The following is a 23,262-nucleotide window of genomic DNA, read 5'->3' on the forward strand; positions in this document are numbered from 1 at the left end:
TCATTCCTTTTCATTGTTTTTTATTTAATCTAGTCTGCATGCCTTATTTCAGCAAGACAGTCTTCAAAATCTGATATCCTGTCTTCCACTTGGTCAATTTGGCTATTGATACCTGTGTATGATTCACAAAGTTCTCCTGCTGTGTTTTTCACCTCCATCAGGTCATTTATATTTCTCTCTATACTGGTTATTCTAGTTAGCAGCTCCTGTAACCTTTTATCAAGGTTCTTATCTTCTTTGTATTTGGTTAGAACGTGCTCCTTTAGCTCAGCAGTTTGTTATTACTCAACATCTGAAGCCTACTTCTGTCAATTCCTCCATCTCATCCTCTGTCCAGTTCTGTGCCCTTGCTGGAGACGCACTGCAATCATTTGGAAGACCAGGGACACTCTGGCCTTCTGGATTTTCATCTTTTTGTTGTTGTTGTTGTTGTTGTTAATTCTTTCTCACATTCATGACTTTGTCTAGTTTCTATCGTTGTGGCTGCTGACCCTCAGATGGGGTTTCTATGGGGACTTTTTTGTTGTTGTTGTTGATGCTGCTGTTGTTCCTTTCTGTTTGTTTGTTTTTCTTTCAATGGTCAGGTCCATCTTCTGTAAGGCTGCTGCAGTTTCCTGGAGGTTCACTTCAGGCCCTATTCATCTGGTTCACTCCGGCACCTGGAGATGTCACTTGAGGAGGCTGGAGAACAGCAAGGATGGGTGTCTGTTCCTTCCTCTGGGATCTCTGACCTCAAGGGGCACCTATCTGATGCCAGTAGGAACACTCCTGTATAGGGTGTCTGAGAACTCCTGTTGGAGGGTCTTACCAAGTTGAGTGGCATAGGGAACAGTTCCTGTTTAATGAAGCACTTTGACTGTCCCTTGGTGGACAGGGTGTGCTTTGCTGAAAGGAAAATCACTCGTCTGGTCTGCCTGGATTGCCCAGAACTATCAGGAGGAAAAACTAATTCTGCTGGTCCCTGGAGACTGTGGCCACACCTCCCACTAGGGACTCAAGCCCAGGGAGATCAGAGTTCTGTCCCTGAGCCCCTGGCTGGAGTTCTTGGAGTTCCTGCAGGGAGGCCCAACCCAGTGGGGAGGGATGGGTCAGGTTCAGGTCTGAAGAGGCACTCTGGCCACAGTCTGCCACAGCCAGTATGTTGGGCTATGGGGGATACCTCTTGAGACCAAGCCATTCAGCCTCTCTGGCTCCAGCAGAAGAAAAGCGTGGCCTGGAGCTATAGAGATTGCTGCCACCCTTCCCCTGCCCTGGGAGCTTAGTGTGTTAGGCAGCTATCAGTCCCAGTGTTGGCTACCAACCCTCCCCCAAGAAGCTCAAATGACTTAGACAACAGGCAGCCACAGCTGAGATGCTGGCCACCCCTTCCCCTGAGAGCTCGGCAGGCTTAAGCAGATTCTAGATGAGTGGCTATTGAGAATCTGTGTGGATCTCTGGTTGGGACCCTAGGCCCTGGTGGCGTGTGCTTGTGACTGGGATCATCCAATCTGTGGGTTGCACAGTTCCATGTAAAAAACATGGTTTCTCAGGCTGGGTAGCACACTCCCTCACCACCTCCCTTGGCTATGGAATGGGGGCTCCCCTGCCCCATGTGGCTCTCAGGTGGGCTGCTGCACCACACTGCTCTTTTTCCTCTCCTTGGATCATGCTAGCCACCTAGTCAGTTCTGATGACAGAATCTGGATATCTCGATTGCCAGTGCAGGATTTGCATACTGTTGTGGTTCTTTTCAATGGCAGCCTCCGATCTCTGCTGCTTCTAGTTGGCCATACTGGCCCTGCCCCAAAGCCTAATTTTTAATCCCTACTGAAGATGCAGTTCTCATTGGAAACTTTAAATTTGATGGTGTAGGAACAACCATTTGGGTACTTGGTATTCTTTTGAAAAATAATACCTAATAGTCATTCTATGTTACTTATACAATGATTTTCTGTCCAAAAAGGATATCAATTGGTACATCAGAATTCATGATTGTCTTCCGAATTTTTCTAACATTGAAATAGGGTGAAAAATATGGTTCAAACACACATTTTTTTTAACATTAGGGATTGTACAGACCACTCCTCAATCCCAACAAATGTACTCTTTTTATATTTAACCAGTTCTAATAGTTGAGTATTTAAGATAATTTTGACATCTTTCTTCTGTATTTTACTAGGTTACCATAAATATATATATATATATATATATATATATATATATATATATATAATCTTTCTACCCACAATTGTGTGATACCAATTAGCTCAAATAGCTTTTTTTTGTTTTTTTAAGAAAACAGCAATAGGAGGACATAGCATCTATGCTCTTGGATGTCAGTTGGACAAGATGATTTCTAATATTTTATCCAATGCTGAGATGGAAGTTTTTTTTGTGGCAGATACATGAATGAAAGCTTCTTAAAAAGTATTTTTTAGTCAATTGACTAGCCAGCCTGCCTTTTCTTGTCCATGTTTTTAAGAATCTGAACCTAAAATCCAGTTTTCTGTCTTAAGGAGAAAAAGGAAAAGATATCTCATCAAATACATGTTTTACAATTTTATCTCTAAAGTGCATGTGATAGGATCTAACAAACATGTAGAGAGAAACATCTGCAATGTGTGAGGATTAATCACCAAATTTACTATGTATCATTAATATCCAAGAAACTTCAGTGTTTATGAGTGTCAGGTAAAGAAACAAACATATTCACTTGCAAAACAATGAATAAATTGATAAAGAAAGCAATCCACATTTTGTCTTATATCAGGTGTCACTTAATTAGCTATAGGCCCAGGCAGGCAACGCAAAGGATCTTAGAAGCTCAAGTGGAAAATGATAGAGGGATTAGGGCCACAAAGAGGCCCTCTCCATAGGAGGCAGAAGACAGTCCTAGCCAATTTTTGCCACATGACTATGAAGATCTAGGGTCACCAGTTTTACAAGAAGCCATAAATTCAAATTTTTACATGTAATTTTCAGTTCCTTAAAACTCTGTATTTGACAAATAATGATAGGAAAAAAGCACAGCTAATCATCAGAGCAGCTCTGTTGCTGCCAATTTATATATATACAATTTTACAGTATATTGCATGTAAAATATATGCAATTTTATATTATAATGAAATCTAAGCTATCAGGTATAAAACTACAATAAGATTTAGTAGAAACTATTGATTATTTCTGGAAAATGTCAGTTCAGTATGGTAATATGCCTAACAGGCTCAAATTGTTGCTCAGGTGCAACAAAAATGCTGATCATTTTCAAGAGAGGAAGTGTTAAGAATGAAGTTACAAAAATGTGAGCAACATAACTGATATAGTTTGGATTTGTGTCCCCACCCAAATCTCACGTCAAATTGGAGGAGGGACCTAGTGGGAGGTGAATGCATCACAGGGGTGGATTTCTCCCATGCTGTTGTCATGATAGTGAGTTCTCACAAGATCTGATGGTTTTAAAGTGTGTGGGACTTCCCCCTTTGCTCTCTCTCTCTCTTTCTCTCCTGCCACCATCTCTCTCTCTCTCCTGCCACCATCCTGGCTTCCCCTTTGCTTTCGGCCACCATTGTAAGTTTCCCGAGGTCTCCCAGTCATGCTTCCTGTTAAGCCTGTGGAAATGAAAGTAAATTAAACCTCTTTTCTTCATAAATAATCCAGTCTCAGGTAGTTCTTTAAAGCAGTGTGAAAACGAACTAATAATTGAACATATAAAGCATGTAAAATGCTGGCCCATTTGTCCATCACACCTTAGGAAACACAAAACAGAACTGTAGTAGGCCAGAGATAGACCACCAAATCATGTTGATCAATGATATCCACGTTGCAGACAGGGGAAAGAGGTTGAAGTTGAGGTCAAGAGTGCATGAAGACAGGTGAGTAAGTTTGGTTTTTGTTTTGTTTTCTAGAAAAGTAACACTAAAGAGCAGTAATATTGGAGCCCACAACATACTATGTGTGACTATGAGTTTAACCCTTGGTTTATTACAGGATTCTGGAATAATAGTTCTAGGAGGCCTTCTTGTAAAATTAAAAAGAAAATAAAAAGAAGAGGGAGAAGAGAATGAAAAGGAAAAGAAAAAAAAAGGAAAAAAAAATAGCTTACCTTTAGTCAATTTACATACAATAAGGGCATTACCAGTAGTAGCTGTCTATGCTGATACTAATTTTTTTAACATTTATATCAGTTGTTCTCCAACTTTGATGTGCATAAGGATCATGCAGTGATTCTGTTAAAATATAGATTGATAAATTCACATCCTGGAGATGTTGATTCACTAAGTTCGGCTTGAGGGCCTAAAAATCTACATTTTCAAATGTGCACCAGGTATTTGTGATGCATTTGTGATGCAAAAAGACCCTATTTTGAGAAGCATCAGGTTAGATGAGCAGGCCCTCACCAGACGTCAAATCTGCTGACACCTTAATCTTGTATTTCCTAGCCGCTAGAACTATAAGAAATACATTTCTATTGTTTATAAGTCACCCAGTTTACTGCATGTTGTTAGAGAAGCCCAACTGAACTGAGACAAAGTGCCTTAAATCTCATTGAAGAAGCACTAACAGATTCTATGAAAGTTAACAATAATAACTAAGTTACTGTGCATCTTCTGCTGGTAGTAGTGGGAGCGATCAATGTAAAACAATAATTTGAAAGTAAAATTTTATTAGTACCCGATAGGCTAAGGCAAAAATGAAACATTGGGAACTTACACTTGGAGCACTGTCCTAGGATCTCCAACTTCGCCCCCATCGCCAATTGTCAAGGTATCATAGCCAATCTCCAGATCAAATTCTTCAAAATTTATCTGGATAACCTAGCAGTAAACAGAAACATGCACCTTAAATATACTGCGTTGTGCAATAAAAACAACAAAAAAAGCAATGACAGAAATGCATTCTTTGTCTCTCTGCACACACACACACACACACACACACACACACACACACACACAAGCAGTTCAATTATGTATAAATATATATATAATTTCATAGTATGGCAGCAAGTCATGTTAGAATATTCTTAAAGTTCAATCATATCATTACATGACTTTTACTTGCTGTATTGTATTTTCTGCATTAAATTTTCAATGAAATTGCATGGTTTCTGTTTATAGAATACTCTTACTTGAAGAATGATTAAAGCAAATCTACTTTAAGAAGGCTTTATAAAAAGTATATGTAGGTGGAGAGTGGTTTTCCACATATTTGCATATATATTTTATAAAGTTAACATGCAGAAACAGAGTGTGCTATTTCCATTAAGTAGTAAAGCTTAAAATTTGTTAGAGCTAAACTTGAATCTAGATTGCCAGAATGGTATCAAGTTTATTTTTATGTATCGTTTGGTAAAAGAATTCCTCAAATATATTAAAATGAGCGGCAAAACTGGGAGCACAATACTTTGAGAGGCACACTATACCATGCTATGTAATTCAGCATTATTTCTTGCTAAAATATACTCATGTATCCATATATTGTTTATATACCTATGCAAAAATTCAAATTTAATTAAATTGCAATTTTAAAAATAGCTATAATATTGAAAAAATGTAATTAAGAATCAGTACAGAAAGAAATTACATAAAATTACATAATGTCCTGCATAGAGTCATGCTTTGAGCAAAAAATAATTTATAACAAAATATTATTCATCACCTGATAAAATGAATGCCTGAAGTTACCATATTATGAGAGAATAAATGAAGAAGATATTTCTTTAGTAATATTTATAACTATTTGCTACTTTGTTATTATAAAAATAATTAAAAATAAAGGAATTTATATCTTGGCTTTTTTTTGTTATAATAACAATTTTTTTTTTTTTTTTTTTAGATGGAGTCTTGCTCTGTCACTCAGGCTAGAGTGCACTGGCGCGATCTTGGCTCACTGCCAGCTCCGCCTCCTGGGTTCATGCCATTCTCCTGCCTCAGCCTCCTGAGTACCTGGGACTACAGGTGCCCGCCACCATGCCTGGCTAATTTTTTTGTATTTTTAATAGAGACGGGGTTTCACCATGTTAGCTAGGATGGTCTCAATCTCCTGGCCTCGTGATCCGCCCACCTCGGCCTCCCAAAATGCTGGGATTACAGGCGTGAGCCACTGGACCTGGCCAACAATTTTTGACTACACATATTTCTTGTTTTATAAAATATTTTAATATTTGCATTGACTAAAACAATTGTTTTGGCCAAGTTTAAATACAGCATGTGTATAAAGACTTTGAACTATACATTTTACATGATCATAATTTAAAAAATATGTGTATTTGTTCCACTTATAGTAAAATATAAATACTTCCCATTAATAATTACCTGTCAATACAGACTTAGATTGTTTCCCATTTTCTTTCTTTTTTTTTTTTTTGGCTACTATAAGCAACATGGTCATGAGCAGTATTAAACATCTTTTGGTACACATTTTCAGGTATGTCTCTAGGCAGTATACTTGCTAGGTAATAACAGCAAAAATTCATTTTATAACCTAGTACCATATGGTTTTCCAAAATTGTTTTACCAATTCAAATGTTCACATTCGTGTACATTGAATGCATTTATTCCTACCACTCTAGTAGATGTAAAAGTGTTTTTTTTTTTTTCGCATTTTCCTTAATACTAATTGAGTTACATATCTTTTTATATGTTTATATATCATTTATATTTCCTTTTCTGTGACACAACTGTTTGTGTTTTGGCATCTTTTTTCCTCAGACTGCTTGTCTACTTGTTATCATTTGCAAGAATTCTTTATATTGGTGATTCTGAAAACATTCCATTATAGCACACTTTGAAAACAATAATATTTGTAATACACAAAGGTGAACAGATGAAGCTGCTTATAATGGAAATTTTATTTTTATTTTTTGCCCAGGACCTTCTGTTCCATAGAGGGAGTTAAATCAATATCTTAGTTCTACCTGTGGCTCACTCATAGTACACCACTGGATCTGGCTCACTAGTTGAGATCAGCTTTATATATTATGGATACTAATCCCTTACATTATATGTGTTGCAATAGCTTCAAGTTCACAGCTTCCTTGTTAGATTATTTATAAGAAAAGTTATTAATTTTACCAGAGTAGGACTTACTTATCTACTCATAAAATAATAGATAAACAAATCCTACTCTGGTAAAAATTATTAATATTAATGACACAAGCTCATAAAGATGTATCTTCATATCTTTTATCTTTTGTGAATTGACTTTTACAGAAACTGCAAAGTAGGAATGTGTGGGAGGCAGAATTCTAAGATGTCTTCCAATATTCTAATCCCTCGGTGTAGATAACCTATATAATATCCTCCTCTTCAGTGTGGGCAAGACCTATGAAAATGACGGATTATCAATCCTATGATTAGTTTATATTATATGGAAAAGGTGAAGGAATATTAAAGATGTGTAATTAAGATCTCTAATCAGTTGACTTTAAGTTCATCAAAAGGGAGATTATCCTGAGTGGCCCTGACTAATTCAGGAGATTCCCTTTAAAAGAAGGTCCAGAAATGAGAGATCAAAAAACAAGCAAACAAAAAATCAGAAGAGATGCTCTCCTGTTGGCCTTGAAGATACAAACTGCCATGCTGTGGAAAGGCACATTTAGCATGGAGCAGTGGGTGGCCTTTAGGAGCTGAGGGCCTAAGTCCTACAACCACAATAATTGAATTCTGACAACAAGTGAGCTTGGAAGAAGCCCTACAGTTTCAAATGAGATCACATCCCAGACCAAAGCTTTGATTTCACCCCGGTACAACCTTGAAAAGAAGACCCAGATATCCATGCCCAGACTCCTTTCCTGTGGAAACTGTGAGATAAAAAATTTATGTTGTTTCATGTTGCTAATTTTGGGTAATTTTTTACACAGCAATATAAATTAGCACAATATTCCTTTCATTTTTCCCTCCAATATGAACATCCAGTTGTCTCAATACTTTTTATTTAATAAATAGCCCTTCTTTCTCCAATGATCAGCAAACCCTAAACATATATCACTATTCTGTATATAAGTATGTTGGATTTTGGATTCTGGATCTTGTTCTCTTGGTAAGTTTGTATGTACCCGAACTACCACAAATTGGCTTATTTTTATTATTGCTATAAGATAAGACTGTACCTTATAAGTCAGATACTCCACACACTTAATACTTTTGTTCTTTGGGAGTATTTTGACTACTCTTGGACCATTTGTCTTTCACATATCAACTTGTAAAATTCTTCAAAAATTTATTTTGGGCTTTCTAATGGAATTGCAGTGAATCTGTAACTGATTTGGTGAGAACTGACATCTTAAGGTATTGAATATCCCTACACACAAGCCTGACTTCTCTCTTCATTTATTTGGATCTCTAAATATATTTTAATAATTTTTTTAGTATATTACTTCTTGAAAATGCTTTTTGTTATTGAAAGTGGTATTTTATCTTTATATTTGGAACTTTTTTGGTATATAGAAAAGAAATTTATTTTTTGTTTATTGATCTAACTAGGCACTGGATAAAGCTTCCATATTATTTAAAAACATTTGTAAATTATTTTTAGTTTCTTACATAGCAAGCATGTCTTCTGTAAATAATATTTTAGGTTCTTCCTTTCCAAATTATGTAATTTTAAAATCTTAACTTTCTTGGATATCTGGTAAAATGTTTACTAGAACAGATGACAATTAGTCTCATTAAATTGTACCTCATTTAAGAGGGAATGCTTCCAATATATATGTGTGTATGTGTGTGTGTGTGTGTGTGTCTGTAGGTTTGCATGGTATTCATACATAGTTTTATACATTTCTTTTGTTTTCTTGTGAACTAATAATGACATGAACACTACCATGTTTCTTATATTTCAGTGAGAGTAACTCTCAAAGTACCTCATCTGTCATCCTGCCAGAAGGATAAATCCCATGATCTTCATCACCCCAACCTATTTCACAGTAGATATATGAGTGCACTGTAATTAAAATTAGAGAATGTTTCCTTTCATATGACTTAAAAGTCTAATAGGCTAGTGGATACAAATTAGGTAAATGACTGCCTAATTGATTGCTAGTTCTATGCCAAACTCTTGATATCCATTATAGTATGATCATATCCTAAAGACTTTGGACACCCATTTAATGGTAGATTTTATTTTGCCTAAATTGTAACTGAGACTCATGCATGTATGTATGCAACAATGAGAGCTCTATCTCACTTTAAATTAAGTGATGAATTAATTACTAACTAATCCATATACTTTTGGATAAGCACTTAACCACTGAGCTTTCACTGAATTTTTAGACACTTAATAATTCTTGAACAGTTTCAGTGACATACAATTACTGAGAAGCTAGAATATTCTGATTGAATTTTTATAATACATTCATTTTAGTTTGATTCATTTATGCTTATTTTTAACATTATTATTGAAATAGTCCACAGAAGTAAAACTTGTGCATTAAAAAAATAAAAATTAGCTTTGCCTTATTTGAAGCCATTAATATAAGTAAGGTATTACAGTAAAACTCCAACTTAGTATATTGAGATATGGTTAAAAGAAAAATATCTTTAATAGCATGTGTAAATAAAGCTTAGGAAAACAAAAACAAAATGACAACAAAACTTGTTCATTCTATAATGTAATAAGTAACATCAGGAGTCTGATGTAAAATTTTCCTTCTTTATTGATACTTTAATAATATGAAAGTGGCCAAATAGACATTTCCACCCATTTATTTTTGTATAATATAGAAAAGTTAATATAAAAAATCAACAAATAGTCATAAGTATAATAGGAATGCTTCCTCTACATGTTTATTTGGTAGTAGGGCTGAAACATTTAGTAAGAAAATAGGAAAAATATTATGCATTTAGTGTAAAAAGAATGCCATACATTTTGCCTGTTTTACTTCTTCCTAATCATTTGTGGAGTAAATAAACAAAAACATAAATTGCATTTAGCACATAGGACTAATGAAAGAAAAACTGGAATAATAAAATATACCCTTAAAGTATTTAAATAATGTATAATTGTCTTGATTTTTTTAAACCAAGTAAGTCACTCTCTTGATTTCCATTGTGAAATGGTAATTCCAACTGGATTGCTTAGTGTTGCTTATTGAGGTTTGAATTAAAACATTTAATCTACTAATGAAGTCAATTAAAAATAACATAATGCTTTTTAACACTGACTTTCCAGAAGTAAAAAATCCATAGATAGCATTAAATATTAAATACTTGGTAGATCCATTTCTCATAAGGCTCAATACATAGGTTTTTACAGGATATTTTGTTAAAAGTGGTACAGAAGCTATGTCTCATAATCTTTCTGTGAATCTTGCACAGATAATTTAATACCATAACTTCTACATTGTCATATTTTCTGAAGCCATGCGGAATTCCCACTTAATACCCATTAACATGAGTTTTTTAAATGGAACATATTTATATTATGTAAAACACTGGTCTCAGAATTATAAATGCATTATTTTATTTTGACCCTAAAAGTCTATGTTGTGTACACCTATACATTATTCTGGCTGCCCAGCACCTGAATATCCTCCTTTTGTCTGGGAAATTAGGAATCTTGGTAGGAAGTACAGCATACCTCCCAATATGGTCAGATCCTAGATTCCCCATTATTCATTGTATCCAGTGTACAGGCATGAGAACTAAGATTCCCTTATCAATCAGATACACATCTTATGTGTATAAATAAGGAAACAAAGATTGAATTCTGGCAAAGAGTGTCAAAAGCAACAGAAACACAGTTTCAGGGGCAACAGTGGTTGTAATATGTAGTGGCACTGAAATTCTAGAGCACAGCAGTCTTGTTCAACAGGTAAAAATAAATCCTCTCAGGAATCAGAGCCAGAAGCTGTGGAGCACTATGACAAGGTAAATGGATTCTATTACATTCCAAGCTTATCTAGGAACTCATTCCATTTCTAGAGAAATCAGTATTCACTAGTCTTATCCAGAAGGACATGATATTGTTCTGTGACCCAGTAACCACTCTGTGTAGCTTCAATTCTCTCTTCTTCTGAGTGGGAGTTTTTATGGAGTTACCCTATTTGTTTTCTATACTTTTATATTGGATTTGGGATAGCCTATGTTTTAGCCACAGTTCTTTAGACAATGAGGAACTACCTGTAAATATAATGGAGAAGCCAGTGTATCACTTAGGGATTCTGGACATATCTTTGTATGCAGTAAATGGATGAAATTTTAGGTTTTCTCTATTAATGTAGATAGAAAGTATGTTTTACATAGGTATTTTTTCCAAAGTGAATGCAGGAGAAGAAAAATGGGTCTGGAGAGGTATTTGATAACCAAAGGGGAAAATGTGGCAGATGCTATTGATTGCTTACCCAACAGCCACCTTCCGTATTTACCCTTGACCTTTTCTTCTCAACAGGACATATATTTTGTTCTCTTGTATTCTTTTCTGTACATCCTAATACTCAGGGACTGCTCATCCAATTATGAGTTTCCTGAGATGGGTCCTAATCACTCTATGCCCCATTCCATTTGCCAGTGATTCGATTACACGTATTTGACCTAATTCTGGCCACTGGAAGATGATTAGCAATTTGCTGAGAGGCTTTTGCAAAATGATTTCTTGGTTTTCAAAGAAGTACAAAAAATCAGTCTGCTTTGAGGTAATTCTATCTGAATGTATTCAGCTATTACAACCATCTCACAATACGTAGTTTGAAGATAAAGCAAAACTACATGTTGAGATGTCCAGAACCTAGGAACGGTGTTTTTCTGTGTGCGTGGGGCTTGCATGCTTCTGGACAGTATGCTTTTTAAATAATGCATTTGTTATTTAAGTCATTCGATTTGAGGTTTCCCATATGTAAACTGAAGACATTCCAATGAACAAATCGTTTTAATAAATTCTCAGTTTAAAGGAATGCTTTGCCCAAGTAATTTTCCCATGTTTATTTGGCTACTGGTGATGAAACTAAACTTCAAGTTTGCTTGATGATAGTAATTACATGCTTAAACATCATGCTATTCTACGTTAACAAAGTAAACTTCTGAAATTTAGAAAATATTTTCCGTGCATCCCAAATACCTCATATCATGTTGTTATAATAATTTATAAATATGTTCTTTGATGTTGGGCATATGCCTCATGTATTAAATAGTGATGGCAGGGAGAGACAATTTCTGAAACCTAACAACTAATAAATATTACATAAATTCTTCGGGAAAAAAATATAGAAAGCATCTATTGATACAAGTTCTTTTGTATTTCATGGTAAAGTCTGTATTTGTTAATTCAAAATAATTCTGAAAGCTGAAGAAAATACTCAATATTAGACATTTTTTATTTACATAATTAGTACAACATTCAAATTAGCCTTTGATGATGTTTAACCAAACAAATTAATGATGCTTTAACTAATGCCAATACCAATACCAATACCAAGCTATACTCATTAGTGAGACAGGATAATATAGATAAGTCCACAGGAAAAGCCTGGGATTATAGCCCCATTTCTCTAAAAAAAAGTTATATTATTTTGAGCAATTCTCTAACTTATATGAAATAGTGTTTATAATTTCTATTTTTTAAGGTTGAAATATGTATTACAATAAGCAAGGATTATAAAATAACACATAGGATGCTTGATATATAGTAGGACCTCATAAATGGCAGTTATTATTAGCTATGTCAATTATCTTAAAATAGGTATTCGTATCTGTTCACAATGGATCTTGAGGATGAAGTTCTTTTTTCAGCAATCCCATTTGATTCCAAGATAAGAGTTTTTCCCCCAAACTCTATGTTGCTAAAAATTTACCTTTTTTGGGAGCAGCTTTTCTCCATTATGATTATTTCAGAATGGCAATAAGTCACTCTAATATTAACAATTATTTTTGCTCCCCGGTGTGGAAATCAGAATGCATTATATATGTATAATTACAAAATATAAAAACTTTAATTAATCTCAAGGTATGCAAATACCACGTTACACAATCAACTTGACATCTAATTAAAGCACTTCTTTCTTCATATACATTCTATACCTTGGCAATCATAGTCCAATGAGGGAAACATGACATAAGCAAGATGAATACAATACCCTGTGTTGATTGCTTTGGGATATAGACACACTGGGTTATATTAGCAGAGATGACAGCCACTCAATCCAGTTGGAGACTATAGAGGAAAGGATTCCCTGAGGTGGAAAACCCCAGACACTGCCAAGGAAGGTGGAGTTGGGAACTGGGAAAGAACATTCTAGGGTAGAATGTGAAATACGGCAAAGTGAAAAAAATATTATTTTTGTTTCTGAAACATAAACTGTGAGGCAAAAAGTGATGAGAAGGAACACTAGCGATGAAGGCAGAAAGCAGACCATGTTAAGGACTGTGAACTTTATCTTCTATATGAAAAGCAGCATATTACGATTTTGAACAATGTTGACAGGGTTATATTTAATTTTTTACATGCTCATTTTGGCAGCAGGGACAATCTGGATTTGAAGGATAACAGGGCAGGGTTAGAGAGATTGAAGACCTAAACTTGGACTGTGGAAGTAGGGATGGAGAAGAGTGGATTCAGACAAGGTTTCTTTGCTCTAAATTAAAATAATTATAATAGTTTTTTTTCCCTTTTTTTCCATACACATGAAAGCATTATTCAAAGGCCCACACAAAAATCTATGCCTTGGCAGGACTGTCTTATCAAATGTTATTGCTTGTAAATGTCTAATGCAGAGAGAGCAAAATATGGAGTACCTTTATTAAAAAATCATATAATTCAGAATAATTCTAAAACTTGGCTGCTTTTGTGGTATGTATTATAAGTGACATACATTTCACATCTATATGGAAAATTCATGTTAATGATGTTTAAGTAATAATCATCCTAAATTAGCTACTTAAAAATAAATATACAAAGGTAAACTTATATGAAATTTATGAAATAGGTAAATATTGTATGATACAAAATGCTTAAACTATGACACATCAGAATTCCTTATTTATTCATTTGAAAGTGATATCATTTTAGAGAAAATAATAAATATCTCATATTCTAGAAGAATTATGCATTGCAATATTTAATATTTTACTTACATATTTTATTACAGAATATATATCCCAAGACTCTAGGCTAGACCATTCAACAGTGCAAAATGCCACCTCAGGGAATTCTCTAGGCTAATCCACTTTGCTGCCAGCATCAGGTTAACAGTTTCAATCTTGCAAGGGCTCATATTTTAGAGATGGGGTGGAGGAGAGTCTGGGGACACTGAGAGCTACTGATGGAGTGATAAAAGCTTTTAGCTTTGTTTTATTTTTCTATGCCTTTAATATCTGTACACTGGTCTTCTCCTTTAGGGGACTGTTGGCATGTAACAATGACAGATTACATAAAGCACTACAAATGTTTCACTGAAGGGAAGAAGCTACATAAAATGAAAAATTCATCAAATATTAAATCCATAGCACCACAGTACAAAACCATTGGTTCCTTTCCATCATTTATTCATGCTTAGCTACTGGAGGATATAATTTAAATTCCATAATACATATAAATGATCAACTTGAATTTACAGATTTTGAAGAAAATCCTTGCAGATAATATTCTTGGTTTTAGGAGACTATTCATTACAAATTTGTATAAGTTAGGTCGTATATATCCAAAATATTTTGAAAAATATGTATGAGGCTAATTCAAATAAATTTGTTAAGAAGGGCTCTTTTTCTGTTTTTTTGTCCCTTATTAATAATGGGGTCATCATGGTCTAGGATACCTCTCTTTTCATTTATTTATCTATATCTATTTTTATATAAAAAAACTTTGACTCCAGACTTTGAGAAAATGAAAGTTTTGTTCAAAATGATTAGATACACAACTATAGTAGTGATATACAGATATTTATATACTTTCATATATAATGAACCATGCAATGAGTTTTAATTCCAGCCTCAGTTTATCCTTGTTATTTTTCTTAAGACACCAAAAGACAGGATGTAAGATACCAGCTTCTCAATGCATGGTCTTTGTTGTTAACCTTATTTTTGTTTATGTAATTTATTTAAACAAGGTTATTGAGTAGTGAATCTTTATCAGTTTATATCTGTGGAAGGCCCGGTTTACTTCTATGTCTTCCTGGACAAGCAACTTAGGCAGGAGTCCAGGAAGTTAGGGTACAAGAGAAATTACCTGCCACAGCTATGCAGGAGGAAAGACTTGTAGCCCATGAATGAATTCTCTCTGGAGCCAGTAGTTAGGAAAAGACTGGGGAAGGGTTTTTATTTCTGTCTTTGTGAAAAAGGTCACCGGTATTTTGATAGGGATTTTGTAGATTGCTACGGGTAATGTGGACATTTTAACAATATTAATTCTTCCATTTCACGAACTCAAGATATCTTTCCATTTATTTGTGTCCTCTCCAATTTCTTTAATCAGTGCTTTATAGTTTTCATTGTATTATTGTGGTTACCAGAAGCTGGAGAGAATAAGGAGGAAGGAGAAACTGGGAAAGTTACTTTGTCAATGGGTACCAAGTTGAAGTTTGAGTGACCATAGTAATAACAATGTAGTGTATATTCCAAGATAGCTAGAAAAGAAGATTTTGAATGTTATTATACAAAGGAGCAATACATGTTTAAGGTGATAAATATAATAATTATTCTGATTTGATCATTATATAAGGTATAGGGACATCAAAATATCTGTATTTCACTGCAACCTTGTATAATTCTGAACCCCAGAAACAATTTTTATGTGTCAATTATAAGTAAAACTTTAATAAAAAAAGAGTGAGGAAAGGTAGCTATACTACTGTTTCCTATTTTGTGAACTGTGCTTCAAATAGAAGGCTCCTATTTTAAGTTTTGGAGGTTAAGTTAAAACACAAATCAGATAATATAACTTCTATCTAAAAGCTATTGACTTATTTAATTGTATACACATATTTAAAAATATGACTCTTTACCAGCACTGTTATAGTGATATAGATACAGACTAACTTTTCTTCCTTCACTGGGGGAAGAATATAGTAAATTTAAAAAATATATAATAATCTTATAGAATATAAAGTCTTCAAACACTCATATGTGTTATGAAGTGTTTTAAAGAAAGATAAATCAAGGTAAGATGATAGAGAGTGGTGGAGGTGTTCAGTGATAGAGGAGGTGAGGGTGAGGAACTTGAGAGAAATCTGAATGAAAAGAGGAACTATTTAGATATCACATTCATCAGTGGTTTCTCATTCCATATTTGAATAAATCTCAAAGGGGCCTCTATGATCTAATCTTTCTTTAGTTCTACAGTCTCCATGTTGCCCATTCTCCTCTTTACCCACTATGCCAAGGGCCCCTGTAATCTTTTTAGTTTCTAGAAGACATCAGGGCCATAAAAATCCTTTATGAGGACTACTCACTCTGTCTCAGACACTCTTCTCTCTGCATTTCCAGTTCCTTGTCATTCCATAATATTGGCTGAAAAATCATCTGCTCAGAAAAGTATTTTTGACATTTCTAAGGGGCTTCCTCTTTATTCCATTAAGGGTGATTTCTTTACATGATGATTATTTATTCCTGTGTTTATCCTTTTATTGTCTATTTAAAGTGCTAACTAGAAGCTTCCTGATGTTAGCACATTTGTCTTTCTAAAAAATCGATTGCAATCCCAGGTTCTACACTGTAAAACTGTAGGATTTCCCAGGTAATGTCTAGCTAAGATTTACAATATTGGTATTCATCTGGCCACTCTAAGGCACATGAGGTGCTTTATGCTTGTCCTTGGATGTTAGAGATCGTCACAGACTGAGAATGTATAGGGTGGACACTGAAGAGGTCTTAGCAGGAAAAAAAAAGGTGGAACTACTACATCCTATCTCTGCAGATGTTGCTCCCTTCAAACCTTACCCCTAATATCATTGATGTGGGTGACTTTACTATTACATCAGAAGGGGTTAAAATTCAAAGCAGATATGTAATACTGAGCAAAGGAATTACACACATTTTTACACTTTGATATGTACATTATGTGATTCTTGCTGTGTGAGGGCAATTAAATCATCCAAATGACTCTCCTTCACATTGAATAGAGATTCCAGGAGACCAAAAAGCTGTAATACTAAGAAGGGCAAGTGCTGTGGGTAACACAGGTATAATATCACATTCCTCCTCTCTCTTCACAACCCAGTTGCAGCTATTCTTGAGGTGTTAGGTAGCTGGGGTAGGAGACAATGTTCCAGAAGGTTGAGCATGGCCCCACTAACTCTAAGGTTGTCATTAAGATAACCTTCCATTCTGCTGCAAAATATCTCAGTGACGGAAAGCAAAAGCTCACAGCTCTTGCCAGTTTCTTCTTCAAGCTCTCTTGGCAGCAGCCTATTCTGACTTAGAAGCATCTGCTGATGGTTTCCGGTGACTAATATCAGCAGGGAGTCTCCACAAGAATATTTCAAGATCTGAAATGTATGAGAGTGTGTGTTATCTGCACCGTAGGAAACTAAGCTCAAACGTTAGTGGAGGCATTATACCCATCTCGCTCTGGGAATTTATTAGTGTTGTTGGTGGTGGTAGCAGTTGCAGTAGTAGTTACAATAGTAATATTATTAACACTAATATTTTGAACATATATATTCCAGGCCCTGTTCTTACTGCATATCTCATATTATCCTTTCAAGAGTCATAAGAAATTAAATTATTGAGACCACAGAAGTCCAGATAAGTTTTTGGTGGTGATCTGTGATTCATTACACAATTATGCAGTGTCTATATTTATATACAACTAGGTACTTTTTATATTTGTGTATTAGTATATGAGGAATTTTAGCATCAAGAATGTAAAATATAGAAAGGACATACAATGAATATTTACTATTTATTCCTAATTATTCAATGAGTGGTATTACATCTTCAAAAGAATATAAAATACTCAAAGTCAATGACTATTATTGTAAGTATTAAACTCTCGTGATGTTAAAAAAACTATGTTGATTCAAGATGTTAAAATGAATCTGCCTCTAACTAGTAAAATTGCAATCCATAATTTTATACATGCAATTATGGAATTAACTAAAATATATGTGATGATAAAAGAAGTTGCTAAAATATTAGTTTAAGAATAAAATAAACATAAATGCTTTCTAGAATAAGCATCAATTCTATCCAAAAAGAGAGATTTTATGTTTGGTTTCTTTATACTTCTCTGTGCTTTTGTTTACAAAAACATTGATTAGAAGAATGATGATCACACTAGATACTATCATTTGAATGTCTCCCCTCAAAAATTCAGATATTATTAATGTGATAGTATTAAAGATGGTAGCTTTAAGAGGTGATGTGCCTTGAGGGCTCCTCCCTTGTAAATGGGATTTAGATGCTCATAAAAGAGGCAGCATTAAGCTCCCTTGTCTTTCTCACTTTCCATGTGAGGACACAGTGTCTTCTGCTGTCCAATTTCCTTGTTACTCCTCATTGCCACCTGGGATAGGCAGAATACCTAATTAAAGATGTCCACTCCCTAATCCAAAAAAAAGCTGTGACTATATTACCAGACATGTCAAAAGGGACTTGAACTTGTGATTCAATTTAAGAATCTTGAGATGAAAAGTTTATTCTGGATTTCTAGAGTGGGCCAAATCTATTCACACAAGTCTTAACATTAGAGGAAGAAGTCAGAAGAATGTGCAAATATGACATCAGAAGGACTAGACACATCTTTGCTGGATTTGAAGATGGAGGAAGAAGACTGGGAATGGACCTCAGCTAAGAGCCAAGAAAAAATAAAGATATTAAGGAACTACAAGGAACTGAATTCTGCCAACAAGATCGATTAACAGGAAACATTCTTTCCCAGATTTTCCAAAAAGGAATATAGTGTGCTGACAACTTAGTTTTATTGCAGTGAGCCCCATGCTGAACTGCTGACCCACAGAATTATAAAATAATGAATGTTTTAATTTATATTAATATTATTATTTGTTTTAAGCCACTAAGTTTACAGTAATTTGTTACAGTAGCAATGGAACTGTCACTTTTATAACAGCATCCAGACTTCATCATTCTTATTTCATTTAATAAAGCCACTGGCTCACCCTGCAAATTTACATAAGCCACATAAGTTTTCCAAACTTGTTTCTGCACCTATACAATCTATACAATAATATTAACTATTCATACAATTAATAGGAGGATTAAGTGAGAAGATACATAAAAATAGCTTAGCATAGTGCCTGTCACATACACTCAATTCATCTACAATTTAATATAATTAATTCAAAAAAATCAGTAACAGTAATAAAATCATGAGTTTTTTCCTAATATCTTTTCTCTTGCTAGCTAGTACTTAAAAGGGAATATTCTTTGTTCACTCATCAATTTTGGACTAAATATGTGTAACAGAGGTTGTCATATCTTTCCAAAACATCCATGTACTCCTTCTCCTACCATAGTAGAATTCCTAGCTGGTAGCAAGTTGTCCTTACTAAAGACTATATTTTCCATTCTCTCTTGTAGCTAAGTATGAGAATGTTGTTAGATTATTGCAAAAATATGATATAAATAGAAATGTTTTGAAGCAACATCAAGGAATATTTCTTAAGAGATAGCTTACATTTGTCCTTTGTTTTCCTTATTTATCACTTCCCCCAACCTGCTTCCTAGAAGGGTTAGACACCATGTTGCAACCTAAGATAAAGACCACAAATTGGGAATGGTAGGGTGGTGAGTTAGACTATGACTCTGAGAAATTTCTGGATCAGAGACACCATTAGTCTTGGACCAGATACATATCTTGTTTAAGTCTCTGTTAATGCGTTTTCTGTCACTGACATCCAAACCTAATCATAATTGAAAAGCCTGTGCATCTCGGTTGTTTTAATTAAGACCTTCTTTGCCCAGTCTCTCTTTTTCCTCCCCTATGCCGGCCCCAGAAAGACTGTATTTGGTTGTATAAAGTACATTAATTGCCATAATTTATTTGAATTCCTTACTATTTATGTCAAATTATTATTCAACACAGCTCTGATTATGCATATGATTCCGGTATAATCATAATACTGAGATTAAAATGGTGGGTATACCCAATGGTTAGTAGTGGGAACAGTAGTGGAAAAAATACAAACAAAAATGCTTTGCCATTTGCATATTTTGCCTACTTTGTTGGTAAGAACCAGAGACATTCCTAGAAAGAGCTAAAACACATGGAAATAAACAAGCAACTATTTTGTCTAGGAATAATTGCTCAGTTATTTCAATAAATATTCATTTGAAAAACTCCCACATGACAGTTACTTCATTAGATATTAAGGATGCATGGACTCAGGAACTGGTTTTTGTCCTTAAGGGTTAAACTAAGGAAAATAAGTGCACAAACATGTAAGTACAATGTAATGTGACAACACATGGGTCAGTTATGCAGAGTAAGCTTTCCCAATCTAGGTGGGAAGATAGGACAGGCTTCTAGGAAAAGGTAAAAGATTACCTGAGTCCTAGAAGATGCCATTAATAAACAGGGTCACAAGACTGGAGATGTGTAAACAAAGTGAAAAAGTATATTCCCTACAGAAGGAGCGGCTTATCCCCAAAATACAGGGTCCTAGAAGTGCTTTGGGGGCTAAATAGAGTGTTGAAGTATGAGTCTAACACAAGAGTAGTTTAGGTTGCCCATGGCTTCCTCTATAAAGCTATGCAGAACCATTTAAATATTTTACAAAGAAGACATTATTTCATCTCAGAATAAAACATCACACTGAATTTTTTGGAAAGTAACAGGCTTGGAGTAAGCAGAAAAATGAGATGAAGATTTGCTAATTGGAAAGCTGGTTATTAATCCAAAGGAGAATAATGGAAACCTGAGTGAGAGGGAGTTAAACAACTTCAAGGCATACTAATTAAATATAATGAAGTCATTGGACTTTGTATTTAGATATGTGAAGGAAAAGGGGAAGGATGTAAAATGAAAAATGTTTGAATTATTAATATAGAGGAACACTAATATTTAAGGATAAGGTCACTAGCAAAAGCCTGGAAACGTAGGGGGAAATTCAGGAAAACAGAGAATAAAGAGGCTGGGGAGGATAAAGTTTCAAGGAAAAGGAAGTAGTCAATAATATGACTCACTCTATACCTATGCCTTTCTTTTACTTAATTTATTATTTAAAAATGTGTTTTCATTATAAAATGAAGCATATATCTTATTTGATACTTTTTTTGTTAGTACAAAATTAAAGTGGAAAATGCATGTAATCTTCTATCTAGAGATAATTCTTTTTTAACATGTTAAAATTATTCTTAAAAAAGATAATTCTTTTTTAACATGTTAAAAAAGAAATATTCTTTTTTCCCCTTTCTTTCTTTCCTTCTCTCTCTCTCTTTCTCCTTTCCTTCCTTCCTTCCTTTCCTTTCTCTTTTTCTTTCTTTCTCTCCCTCCCTCCCTTCCTTCCTTCCCTCCTTCCTTCCTTTTTTCTTTCCCTTTATAAATACACTTTTTAATTTTCTTGAGATAGGTGTTGCTCTGTCACCCAGGCTGGAATGCAGCAGCAGGGTTATAGCTCATCCATCCTTAAACTCCTGGACTCAAGTGATCCTTCCACCCCAGCCTCCTGAGTAACTGGGACTAAAGACATGTGCCACCATGCCCACTTGGTTAATTTTTAAAAATTGTTTTGTAGAAAAAGGGTCTTGCTATGTTGCTCAGGATGGTCTCAAATTCCTGGCCTCAAGTGATCCTCCCACCTTGGCCTCCCAAAGTAGCTCCCAGGTATGAGTCACTGTATCTGGCCTCATTTTTTCTTTATTGATATTTATTTATTTATATTTATTGATATTTAATTTTATTGTACTTGCACAGAGTAATTCACTTTAAATAAAGTATTTCAATTAAATAAACCATTTGAACAAAAAAAATAAGTACCATTGGTAGGGGTTAGGAATAGTTAAGGTACTGCTATACAGATATGGTTCACTTAAGAGGAGGGGAAATAAAAGATCAGCGCCTTTAAAATTCTACTGCCAAGCCTGGGTGTTCTATAAATAGTGACCAGAGCTACTTTTCTTGGCTTGGGGAACCTTGTAGTTGGTTTTTCTAATTTCCATCTAATTGTTTTGTATCAAGATCTTCACTCTGCTACTAGGTTCTTTCTGAATCATGCTTTGTTAAGACTGCCAACCTGGCTTTAATTTCAGTTTATCCCTGTACTGCTGCCTCAGGTTTGGTCTTGTTAGTGCCTGCTCCATTGTAGTAGATACTGTCAATGCTCCAGGTGATCAATAACCCCCTTGGATGCTTCTTGCCCTTTCTGTTATCTGTTCATTATCTTCCATACACTATGCATTTGTCTCTAAACGTGTATAGCTATGAGTCTTCTGGAGACTGCTTTCAGGCTACAGGAGCCCACTTGGTCCACACATGAGCCCTGAAAGATCTGGGTATCACTTACCCTATGATCATGGGGTGCAGAAGTATGAGAGCACAGCTTCTTTGCCTTGAGTTGGGATAAACTATCAGGTGTAATTTACACTGCATGAGATCCAGCAGAGGCTTGGATTTTGTCTGAAATTGCACCTTGCTTAACTTCCTTCTTGTCCTGCCTCTCCCACTCCCTTAATAGTTTCTCCTGGATACACTTTCTTAATGAATCAGCAGCATATAATTCCTTCTCTTGGGCCTGCTTTTTCAGGAACATAACTGAAGACAGCTATAGTCTGCAGAAAAGTGACTCTCTATGCCTGGCTGAGGTTTCAGACCTGGCACTGAAGCTTGGCACAAGTACCAAATCTCCAAATATTTGGCGCAAAGAACTAGTACCTATAAATGGGCTGACTAAATGAAGTGGCAAAAGGCTATCTCTAAAGATGGAAAAGTGACAAGAATTGTTCAGATGACAGTGTTACAGGTGAGTTCAAGAGTGTATTCTGATGCCTGAAGACTTTATGGGGAGGAAGATTAAGATTGTATTTAATGGATCTAAAGAAAAAACATGGGCTTAAATGTATTGAATGTACAAAGGTAATATTTCACAGTTTAATAATTTTACCTTCATTATAAATTGGACCTTCACTACTTGTTTTTAAAATAAGCCAAAGAATGGAATGGCCTGTCTGAAAAGGAACTTCATCTCCTACTAGAAAAGGCTGTCCTTTACCTGAATTTAAGTTTGGGGCAAGTGTCCATAAAAACATAAGAGCAGAGAAAAACTCATTTAATACTTCACTTCAACAGAAATCAAATCTATGTTTCAGAATGATATGAAATGTTGTAATGAAGTTTTATCAGAACTATATGAAAAACCCAGTAACTATGCCTTATGGTAGCTCTAGAGAAAATAATATACAG

General features: G+C 34.8%; 1 protein-coding gene across 9 annotated transcripts in view; it reads right to left on the reverse strand.

Annotated features, from left to right (window-relative positions):
• Positions 1-23,262, reverse strand: part of CSMD3 (CUB and Sushi multiple domains 3) — a 1,214,012-nt gene that overhangs the window by 602,069 nt on the left and 588,681 nt on the right. For all 9 annotated transcript variants that reach the window (NM_001363185.1, XM_017013010.2, NM_052900.3 and 6 more), the window contains one exon: positions 4,690-4,793. In NM_001363185.1, the coding sequence (NP_001350114.1) occupies positions 4,690-4,793 (104 nt within the window). The remainder of the gene's footprint in view (positions 1-4,689; positions 4,794-23,262) is intronic.

Source organism: Homo sapiens, chromosome 8 (genome assembly GCF_000001405.40).
Source record: "Homo sapiens chromosome 8, GRCh38.p14 Primary Assembly".
Lineage (NCBI taxonomy): Eukaryota > Metazoa > Chordata > Mammalia > Primates > Hominidae > Homo > Homo sapiens.